This window comes from Homo sapiens, chromosome 5 (genome assembly GCF_000001405.40).
Source record: "Homo sapiens chromosome 5, GRCh38.p14 Primary Assembly".
Taxonomy (NCBI): domain Eukaryota; kingdom Metazoa; phylum Chordata; class Mammalia; order Primates; family Hominidae; genus Homo; species Homo sapiens.
This window is the reverse complement of record NC_000005.10, coordinates 73,361,595-73,373,639: the sequence shown is the minus strand read 5'-3', so window position 1 is coordinate 73,373,639 and position 12,045 is coordinate 73,361,595. Positions and strand designations below refer to the sequence as shown.

Here is a 12,045-nt window from a genome sequence, read left to right as displayed (position 1 = left end):
AATACAAAAATTAGCTGGGTGTGGTGGTGGGCGCCTGTATGTAGTCCCAGGTACTGGGGAGTCTGAGGCAGGAAAATCATTTGAACCTGGGAGGTGGAGTTTGCAGTGGGCGGAGACTGCACCACTGCACTCCAGCCTGGACTACAGAGTAAGACTCCATCTCAAAAAATAAAATAAAATAGAAGTCCAACTCAGGAAGACACCAGTGGGTTAAGCCCAACACAACGTTAGGATCTGCCATTTTGGATTGAGAAGGGCAAAGAAGAGAAGACCAAAAAGAATATGATGATAAAACAGCATGTTTCTATGGTACTTCTGATTTTCCAAAGCATCATCATATTTCTTTTCTTACATTTATCCTATATACCCATGAAGAAAGTTGAGAAAATTGTGTTCATGTAAGTGATCCAGAGTGTGTGGCTTAAAGTACTTTGTGGATGTAAGGAGCCATTGTCATTCCCCATCTCCATAGGGTGCTATGAAATGGATAGTGTATTGAAGGTCATACCACTTAGTTGATGGCAGAGCCAGAAGAAAAACCACAGACTCATCATCCATTGCCCCTGCTTATCCTCTTAGATCAATCTTTCTCAAAGCGTGGGCCCCAGACAAGAAGCATCAGCATCACCCCAGGCCTATGGATCAGTACCTCTAGGGAAGGGGCCCACTGATGTGTTCTAATAAGCCCTCCAGATAATCTAATGCATACTCAAGTTTGAGAACCATTGGTCTAGGCCAATACTTCCCAGTCTGGGTTTCCTGGACCCCAGGACCCTGTGGACATAATGATTAATTCCCCTAAGGCTATTTTCAAAATTTCATAAAACTTAATCATGCTCAACATTACTTTATAAATTATATATTTTATTATGTATGATGGATAAATGAACATTAGGAAAGGAAACTGATTATTAATCAATGCTTTTTCATATTTTTTTACTCATTTATTCATTTATTGGTTATCTAATATGCTCTGAGTTGGATACTGGGAGCTCCAAAGATGGTAAGGTGCCTATCCTCAGGATAATTATAGGCTTGTAAACAGATTATCGCAATATGATATGATAAGTACTGAAAGGCAGATTTAAATAGTACTATGATAGAAAAAAAATCTAAAATACTGTGGTGGGGAGAATCTCCAGACTGTGCCATGTTGCTTCAAGGCTTTGTGGTTGAGCTTGAGCTTGGCTGGTTGAGATGGGGAGAGGAGGGACGGAAGATAACTCTCAGGTGGAAACCTGCTTCTCCCTCTTCTTTCCCCAACCACCCAGCTGAGGACAAGCAGAAACATGAGCCCACTTCTGGGTTCTGGGTTCTCTCCCTTCTTGGACCCTCCTGCCTTTTTCCTAGGCAACACTTCTGAATATGAGAAGCACTAACAAAGGATTTGGAACAGGCTCAGAGAGTCTCTGCATTAGTGAGGAGAACTTTAACAAGACCTTCAACTTACATTTTTACAGACCTCCCTCACCTATAAGTACAATGGGCAATTACTTAAAAGATACTTCTCTGTTTAACCAGGGAGTTGAAACAAAATGAAATGTCTATTTGGAGAATATTTTAGTTTTACTCCAGTACGATTACCTTAAAAAATGCATACGTTTTGTAGTCCCAGCTACTTGGGAGGCTGAGGCAGGAGAATGGCGTGAACCTGGGAGGTGGAGGTTGCAGTGAGCCGAGATTGGGCCACTGTACCCCAACCTGGGTGACAGAGCAAGACTCAGTCTCAAAAAAAAAAAATGCATATGTTTAATTTCAGTTCAGCTATTTTACGGGTCTTTGTCTTTTAGAAAATCTATGGTGATGTGTTTTGCATTTCAGAAAAAAAAATACTTTCTAGGTTAATGTTGCTTTCAGATGCTAGTGAGGTTTGTCTCTGCTTGTTAGGTTATTGCTTGTAGTGCCCAAGTCTATGTGGATGATGGGCCTTCCTCTGTACATTCTTTGAAGTTTACTTTCCATCTTCCTATAATTTCACTTCAGAATGTCTGTGTGCACAGCATATACCCAGCATAACCAAAGGGAAAGGGCAGGGCAGAGATGTGTATATGAGGAAACTTCACATGTAGCAACTGAAACTTATATCGAGAACATTAACAATTGCTTCCTTCTTGGGGGGGTGCTTCTGGTTCTAAATGAGGTGTTAGTGTTTGTAAGGGTGATAACCTTGTCCCATTGAATTATGATGAGAAAACAACCTAGTTGCCTACAGAGCCAAAAGCAAACCTCAGAACTGCTTGACTCATCCGTCAAACAAATTGTATTTTAGGAAATGCAGGACAGAGAAAAATGCACAAAAGAAAAGTAGGTTTATTTATTTGTACAAAAGTAGAATGACAGCCGTTTGAGTGGATCCAAATAGCGTTTAGGGAGAAAAAAAATGTGATTCATTGCCAGCTATTAAATTTTGTTTATCCTTCTTTAAACTAACCAGAAACACACTTTGGAAAAAACGTGAGTTAACATTTTAAGCGCTGAAAGCCTGCTGTGGATGCTGCCTCGGCTCGCCTATCTTCCAAGGGGAAGATGAGGGCTGAAGCAAGCAAACATGGTTTTGAGAGGTCAGGCAAAGAATGAATGTCTAGACCTGCTTCCCAGTCCACCCTCCGGCACTGGGAGAAGTTTTTCGTTTCCTTAAATAAGGTTGCTCACTTCAGGGCAATAGCAAGAAGGTTCATGTTTACAAGGTGGTTTCAGATAAAGTACCTCAAAGGAAACAGAACATTTCTCCAAAGACACAATCACTGACTGAGTGACTGTGTCAGGAAACCCCTTTTCCCTGATAATCAGTGCTTATTATCATACGCATTTGCCAGATCACCAGCGGATGTGACTAATGCTGACTCCTGGTACAACTGTGTGACTGAAAGACTTCAGAGCACTTGACAAGTATCTGAAAAAATTGCTGGAATCCCAGTGCCTAGTGGAAGAAACCCCTCCAGACTGCAGTGTGCTGGGGTGACTCCCTCTAGCATGGCCCTACCCTCTTTCTGCTACAGGGCCATAAGGGAGCAGCTTTTATAGCTGTTTCTACTGTCCCCACCCCCGCACCCTCCTTAATTAAGTGTATCAGTATAAATATTTGGGTTGTTAATGCCCTTAAAATTGGAAGGGAATGTACTTATCATAGACTATAAGAATTAACTTGATTTAAATAATACGAAAATATACACATTTCTAAAAGAAGCAGTAGCAAAAATAACTTTGCCGAAGCCGAAGCCCCTAGCATCTTTTTGCTTTCCAAGCAAATAATTCCACCATGAGAATTATCTAGAGTTTGCTATCTCAGTAGTGTCTAGAGAGGGAACTCCCTGCTGAGTCTGAGGCCACAAGGAAAGGCCCAAGTGGACTTCTTAGGTCTAGAGAACTCCACCACCCCTCTGCTTCATGGCCGAGGGAGAAGGAATCTCCATGTCGTGGTTCACTGGCTTTCAAGCCTCAATGGACTTGATGAAGCAAAAGACCCCATACAGGCTACTGTCCTCCCTTTTCCCTCATAAACCTTCAACTTTTCCCTTTTGCCCAATATTCCAGCTTCCTTCACATATTTCTGGAACTGTGCAACTGTGTCTTATTCATTTTTGTGTCCCCTTGTCTTAGCAGAGCTCCCACCACTTACAGTAGGCATTGAAAAATGGGATTAAACTGGGTTGTCTTGTGAGCAGACACAGGGCCTTCCTACCTGCCAGCAGCATGGACCACCTAGGCTAGGTCTACACAGGTTTAGGGGGCAGCTTAGGACACATTGCTCCCAGATATCTGTCTTAATAGCTAGTAGTATGCAGACTCTCCTTTAAAAATATTTAAAAATTAACTTTAGAAACATTTCAAGCTTAATACAACAAAATGAAAAGACAACCTCCATTGGCATCCTTTGGGTTTCCTTAGCAACTACACCTTTAGGGTGAGGATCCATTTGAACTATTGCAACAGTACCTATGGAATTGATGTGATAAGAGGAACATAAAGTAAAAACTTGTATTAGAGGAAAAGTCTGCCTTCTCTTCTGGCCGCTCTGCTAGGGTAGCAGTTTACAGAGGGAATGAAGAGGAAGGCCACAGAGTAGCACATTCATTCAGAAACGTCATAGTGTGCATTATGCCAGGAGCTGCAAGCACTGTCACTAAATCTCTTTGTCTCAGAAGGAAAACCTGGACATGAGACTAGGCCAAGGCAGATTGTTAGCAGGGAGTCCAGCCCAGTCATTCTCTGGCTCTCACCACAGAACACATGGATGAAGGGATAAAGAATTTAACAAAAATTGGCCAGGCGCGGTGCCTCATGCCTGTGATCCCAGCACTTTGGGAGGCTGAGGCAGGCAGATCACTTGAGGTCGGGAGTTTGAGACCACCCTGACCAACATGGCAAAACCTATCTCTACAAAAAATACAAAAATTAACACCAGTCAGAATGGCGATTATTAAAAAGTCAAGAAACAATATATGCTGGCGAGGCTGTGGAGAAATAGGAACACTTTTGTTTTGTTTTGTTTTCGAGACAAGAGTCTCACTCTGTCGCCCAGGCTGGAGTGAGGTGGCACAATTTCGGTTCACTGCAACCTCTGCCTCCCAGGTTCAAGCAATTCTTCTGCCTCAGCCTCCCAAGTAGCTGGGATTATAGGCGCGCACCATGCCCAGCTAATTTTTGTACTTTTAGTAGAGACGGGGTTTCACCATATTGGTCAGGCTAGTCTCGAACTCCTGACCTTGTGATCTGCCTGCCTTAGCCTCCCAAAGTGCTGGAGTTACAGGAGTGAGCCACCCCCTCCCCGGCCAAAATAGGAACATGTTTATATTGTTGGTGGGAATGTAAATTAGTTCAATCATTGTGGAAGACAATACAGCGATTCCTCAAGGATCTAGAACCAGAAATACCATTTGACCCAGCAATCCCATTACTGGGTATATACCCGAAGGATTATAAATCATTCTACTATAAAGACACGTGCACACGTATGTTTATTGCAGCACTATTTACAATAGCAAAGTCATGGAACCAACCCAAATGCCCATCAATGATAGACTGGATAAAGAAAATGTGGTACATACACACCATGAAATATTACACAGCCATAGAAAGGAGTGAAACATGTCCTTTGCAGGGACATGGATGAAGCTGGAAGCCATCATCCTCAGCAAACTAACACAGGAACAGAAAACCAAACACTGCATGTTCTCATTCATAAGAGGGAGCTGGCCAATGAGAACACATGGACACAGGGAGGGGAAAAATACACAGCAGGGCCTGCGCAGGGCGAGGGGAGGGAACTTAGAGGACAGATCAATAGATGCAGCAAACCACCATGGCACTTGTATACCTATGTAAGAAACCTGCACATGTATCCTGGAACTTAAAGTAAAAAAATAAAATAAAATACAAATACAAAAATTAGCTGGGCATGATGGCACATGCCTGTAATCCCAGCTACTCAGGAGGCTGAGGCACAAGAACCGCTTGAACTCAGGAGGTGGAGGTTGCCATGAGCTGAGATCGCACCACTGCACTCCAGCCTGGGTGACAGAGAGGGACTCTGTCTCCAGAAAAAAAAAAAAAAAGAATAAATAAAATTCTCAAGTACTTAAAAATATCTTATTAACTCTTTCCATCTATTTATTTGACTACCTGACCAATATTTTGGTGCTTCTGGGAAGGACAGCAGTGGATAGAATGTGGAGGGACCCCAGGCTCATGCACAGGAGTAGCTGGGATAAAGAAGGGGGTAGTGGGTGCTCCCTGCAAGATCCTCTGACTCTGGCCTGGCTTCCTTTACCACATCACATTCTACTTCCTTTTTCCAGGGAGTATGTGGTTCCAACCACATTCCTGCAGGCACCAAGGCCTCATGTCAAATCACATGGCATTTCTGAGCCTAGAGCTTCATATTCAAGAATGTGGCAAGAAGCACAGCATCGTGGTTATTTTGTCCCATACTTCTGCACCGAGGACCAGAATTTCAAGAAATAATGAAGTCTCTGACCTGGCAATTCCACTTCTAGGTCTATACCCAAGAGAAGTGAAAATATCTGCACACAAAGACTTGCACATAAACATCCACAGTGCTGTTATTCATAAGAGCCAAAAAGTAGAAACAATCTACATGTCCATCAACTGATGATGGACAAACAAAATGCAGTACGTCCATACAATGGAATACTATTCAGCCATAAGAAGGAATGAAGTACTGATACATGAATGAACCTTGAAAATATTATGCCGACTGAAAGAAGACAAAGACGGTCATGTGTTATATGATTTCATTCATATGAAATGTCTAAATAGGCAAATTCATAGAGACAGAAAGTAGGTTAATGGTTGATGGCAGCTAGCGGAAGAGAGAAGGGAGAGTGACTGCTGATGGGTATGGGGCTTCTTTTTAGGGGTGATGGAAAGTTCTGGAATTACATAGTGGTGATAGCTATACGACATGGTGAATATACTAAAAACCACTGAACTGTACACTTCCAAATGGTGAATTTTATGTTATGTGAATTTTCTCAATTAAAAAAAAAAGAATAAGTCACTGGGAAGCAGCAGTCTTATTTCCTTCTTTCTGTCCTCCTTGAGCCAACTGAGAACCTCATTCAAATACTTGAACACAACAGACCTGCATTTTGGACTGATCGATTGGCTCTTTCACCTTTTTTTCTACCTTCCAGCCACGTCTCTCCACTTCAGTGAGCATCTATCTTCAAGACTCAAATGGGGGGAATTCAGTTCTAAACATTCCTTTTTGTGCCTAGGCTGTGTGTTGGTCTTGTGGGCTTGGGTGATCTAAATCAGGGGTCTCCAAACCCTGGGCCACAGACTGGCAGTCCATGGCCTGTTAGGAACCAAGCTGCACAGCAGGAGGTGAGCGGCAGGTGAGCGAGCATTACTGCCTGAGCTCCACCCTCTGTCAGATCACCTGCGTTGTTCGATTCTCACAGGAGGGCAAACCCTGTTGTGAACTGCGCATGCAATCTAGGGATCTGGGTTGCCTGCTCCTTATGAGAATCTAACTAATGCCTGATGATCTGAGATGGAACAGTTTCATCCTGAAACCACCCTGCCCCCTGTCCGCGGAAAAACTGTCTTCCACGAAACCCGTCCCTGGTGCCAAAATGGTTGAGGACCAGTGATCTAAATAGAGACCTCAAATTACCTGTCTCCAGCACCACTGCTCATGAGAGCTGTTCCCTGTGGAAGCCAGATTCTTCAACTGTTGGAAATCAGCGGGGAGGCTCGTTTAGGAGACTGGCCGCTGAATAAGGCTTGGCAAAATGTCAGCTTGGACACTCTGTTCCTTTTTGCTGCTGTCATTTCTGCGGTCACAGGACAAGGCCTTGGGGTAAAGAGATGTCTTTATGAGGGGGCTCCTGAGGATACCTCAGTTTCCCTTCTTCTGCCTGTCCCGCTCCTCAGGAGGACACCACAAGCACTTCCCTCAGGCCACCTGTGTGGAACACATACCACTAAGAGCAACAAGTGCAAGGGTTTCTCAGGGATCACACCTCATCAAAGTGGCAGCCCAGGCACTGGCTGTGCCCACCCTGCGGTCCCCTCCCTGCCCACCTCTCTCTCATGCCTTCTGCTCTGCTCTCCTGGTGGGTGACGTTCTTTCCTCCCTGGCACAGGTGCCTCAATCTAGGTAGTCCCAATCCGAGGTTAGCTGTCACTCTTTTCGCATCAGCACAACCAGGAGCATTTTTCATTCCCATAGATGGCTCTAAAGGACAGATTAAATGGGAAGCTTTTGATCAAACCAGTTCTGAGAAGGAAAGGGAAATCCCAGCCCACCAAAGGCTTTTAAGCAGGCCTGCTGAGATGCGATGCAATGCAATGAAAGTAGTACTGTCTCAACTGGGCCACAGTAGTTCAAGCCGGCTAATAAAAACAAAAGCTCTGGGTTTATTTGTTTAACTGACAAATAAAGCCCAGAATAGTCAAGTGGGTTGAAAACTATTCAAATGATTCACATCAGAACACTGGCCATTGTTTAGTCCACAGCAGTGCCAGTGGAACAACGCCGGATACATGCCTGATCATTTATCTGCAGATTTAATGAAAACATATACAGTTGCTGCAATAATTTAGTAGCTTACTGAGCCATCTCCTGCAGGCCAAAGAGGTGTGTTTGGAGTTATAAATATGTTTTCCTCAATTGTCTTGGTGAGTCAGGGCTAGAACAATGTTTACCACCTATGACATGCTCAATAAATAAATAAATTTATTGCTTCATTTTGTGCTGTGGGATAGGCAGAAACCAAGACTGCTGCAGAGTGAGGAGGCCTGTGTCATAGGAATGATGCCATAACTGGAACAGTCTGAAAAAGACAAAGCTGTAACCTTTGGGTCACTCAAAATTTAAAGTCTTGATAGGGGAACCTATTGGTTGAGCTCTTATCACAGGCAGGCCAATGGCTATATTAACACAATGAGAGGGAAAAGATCTAATCTCTCAGTTTCTGTGATAGGAGATAGGTATAGTCTCACCAAAACTACACAGAAGGGGAAGAGGTAATTCCCCCAAAGGAATCAGGCTGTTGATTAGGAAGAGAGAATAGAAACCTGGTGGACAAAAAACAACCATTATTTCTTCCATCCGAAGTACAGAAAATCACTTGAAACAAACTAAATTGAATGACAGCTCCTCTCTGAATGAGGGTGTCCAGTAGTGAAATGATTAAGTGTTTACAATGAGACCTTAATTTTGGAAATTCTGGAAAGGTAATTTTTCTGGCAAAGGTGTGTGTGAGCTAAAGGAATATCTGAAACAGTTTCTAACTCTTCTGCTCAACTTGGTTGTGGAGACTGTTTTAACAGAGACAAAGTGAAGTAAAACATGGAGCATTTATATGGTGAATCTGAACCAAGTTAGAAAAGTTAAATTGAATAAACTTGCCTTGTGGGGATCTTCAGACATTTCTTCCAATTAACAAATTTAATAGGTGAGTAGCCCTTCAAGTACTGAGAGGGATGGACAAGGAAAATCAGAAAACAGTTAGAATCTATATGTAATTTATTAGCATTCACAGTTAATATATGTATTTCCCATGCACATATGCTATTAGCCAGTGACAGCAGCATAGTGAGCAATGAGCAGTAGCTCACCATTCTGCACATGCTGTCAGCCAACGAGTCCTGCAGGTTATCCTGGGTAGACTGTGTGAGGCAGTGTTATTAAGAGGGCTGTTTCAAAGAAACAAAGGCAAAAGATCACACTGGACCGCATTATGAGTTTTACTGCAGCTCATGCTCCTTTGAGGATATGGTTGAAGAAACACAAGGTATAGTTCAGCAGTCAGTGAGGGATTGGTGGAAGTCCTTTGACATGATGAAAGAGCTCACAAATACTGCAGCAGCCTTGGAAGATTTAGCAACAATTTTCTGAACGGGAGCTGAAGGAACTGTGTCTAGATACAAGTCATGACTTCAGGGAATCAGAATGAACAGAAATGGAATTGGCAAGGCACAGTCTGCTCCCCATCTGCAGAGGGAGGGACCAGGTAGTACTCCCTCTCCCAGGAATGCCTTCTCCTCACCAGATGGAGGAGGCCAGTATATAAGATACAGCCTGCCTCAAGGAGCTGCTCTTTCCCCACTGATTTTTCAGAGGATTGACTCAGCTTTTCACTTTGCAGAGCAATTCAGCAAGGCTTTAGGAGAAGGGAAATCTGTGTGTCTCTATAGTCTTCAGCACGGTTTTGTGGTTCCAGCAGGTATTCCATTAAGACTCTTGGTGGATAAACCACAGATAACATTTTCCATGCCTCATTGTGTGTAATCTTAGTAATAAAGTGCTTGGCCAATATTTTATTGATTATTGAGAATTATGAGTAATAATGGTTGTGTTTGCTGGAAAGCTTCTAGGGAAACATAGTGGAAACATATTTTTTGTCATAGCAAGGAAACAAGTGTGTTAGTTTTTAAGGAATTTTTATAAAATAATTAGGATTGCTTTTTTATTTTATTTTATTTTTGAGATGGAGTCTCACTCTGTCACCCGGGATGGAGTGCAGTGGCATAATCTCAGCTCACTGGAACCTCCGCCTCCTGGGTTCAAGCGATTCTCCTCCCCCAGCCTCCCAAGTAGCTGGGACTACAGGCGTGCACCACCATGCCCAGCTAATTTTTGTATTTTTAGTAGATACAGGGTTTTGCCATGTTGGCCAGGCTGGTCTTGAACTCCTGGTCTCAGGTGATCCACCCACTTTGGCCTCCCAAAGTGTTGGGATTACAGACATGAGCCACTATGAATGGCCTAGGATTGCCTTTTTAAAAAGGCTTCTAAAATAAAGACTATGGTGTGATGCCGAAGATGAGTGATTTGCTTGGACAATTTAGAAATCAATTTGTGAGAAGTACTGTTAACACTGAAGAACTAAAATGTAAGACTAGTTATTATGTTTATGCATACTCACCCCCAGAAATTTGGCTTCATGGAATGGGTACATTGAATTAAGTCCAACTAAGCAGTGTTTCACTCATATTCTTGGGCTTCTTCATAAAAATACGTTCATGCATTTTAATTCAAGTGGATAAAATACTCTAAAAATATTTAAACTTTGTGTCAATATAAACAGGATTAAAATGACAGTAACCAAACTATTTGTTTCATGTAAAATACAGCTTTTTTTTAAAAAAATGGAGAAATGTGGAAAAAGTATTTCACAGCCCTAGACAACTCAATCTTTTAATTATAGACCTCTAGACATAACGTAAGGTGAACTCTTTGTAAAATCAAAAGTTAAAATAGAGTCAATGTATGCTGGTGACCTAATATATTCCACTCATGTAGATTCATAGGGAAAGTACTTTCACGTATCTGTTAAAATGGGATTCTTACCATTTCTCAAGCTTTAATATAAGGATGTAAAAATCACAGCATTTTAGCATGGTGGAAAGAATCACTGATGGGGGTAGGAAGACCAATTAGGAGGGTACTGCAATAATTCAGGCAAGAAATGGTGCCAATGGAGGTAGTAAGAAGTAGTTGGATTGTGAATAATTTTTGAAAGAAGACTCAACCAGATTTGCTGATGGATTGCATATGGGGCATATGATGCAGGAGTCAAAGATGAGCCCAAAGTTTTTCCTCCAAGCAGATAGAAGCATGAAGTTGTCATCTATTATCACAAGGAGAGCTATAAGAAGAGAAGGTTTTTGGGGAAGGATCAGGAGTTTGGTTTTGAACTACCACGTTTGAGATGTCTTTAAAACTTTCAAGTGAAGATGCCAAATCATCAGTTGAAGTGACAGTCTCTCATCCAGGTGAGAAGTCTGGGCTGGAGATAGAAATCTGCAAATCATCAATACATATGTGCTATTTAAAGACTTGGAAGTAAAGAAAGATGAGAAGAGGACTGAGGCCAGAGAACCCTGGGGCATGCCAACATTCAGAGGTCAGGCAGATGCACAGAACCAGCAAAGGAGACTGTGACAAAGTGGCCAGAGAGGGAGGTAGAGAACCAAGGGAGACTGGTGTCCTGGAAGACAAGAATGTTGTTTAAGAAGAAAGGAATAGCTGGGCGCGGTGGCTCAGGCCTGTAATCCCAGCACTTTGGGAGGCTGAGGCGGGCGGATCACAAGGTCAGGAGTTTGAGACTAGCCTGGCCAACATGGTGAAATCCCATCTCTACTAAAAATACAAAAATTAGCTGGGCGTGGTGGCAAGTGCCTGTAATCCCAGCTACTCAGGAGGCTGAGGCAGGAGAATCTCTTGAAACCGGAAGGTGGAGGTTGCAGTGAGCCGAGATCATGCCACCGCACTCCAGCCTGGGCAACAAGAGCGAAACTCCATCTCAAAAGAAGAAGAAGAAGAAGAAAGGAATAATTACCCCTGTTGATTGCTCCTGAAAATTTGAGAAAGATAAGGACTGAGAAATACAACAGCCAACTATCCTGGTTTGCCTGAGACACTCTGGGTTTTAGCACTGAAAGTCAGCTATGGTCTGAACGTTTGTGTTCCCCCCAGATTCCTACATTGAGACCTAATCCTCAATGTGATTATATTAGAAGGTGGGGCTGGGCATGGTGGCTCATGCCTGTAATCCCAGCATTTTGGGA

General features: G+C 42.8%; 1 annotated feature.

The window, feature by feature from the left end:
• Positions 2,313 to 3,512: an enhancer, noted in NCBI's record as "P300/CBP strongly-dependent group 1 enhancer chr5:72665955-72667154 (GRCh37/hg19 assembly coordinates)". NCBI's record gives its function as "activates an origin of replication core promoter dependent on BRD2, BRD4, P300/CBP, MED14 and CDK7 cofactors, with strong dependence on P300/CBP, by STARR-seq in HCT116 cells {active_cell/tissue: HCT116}" and the evidence as "EXISTENCE:reporter gene assay evidence [ECO:0000049][PMID:35650434]".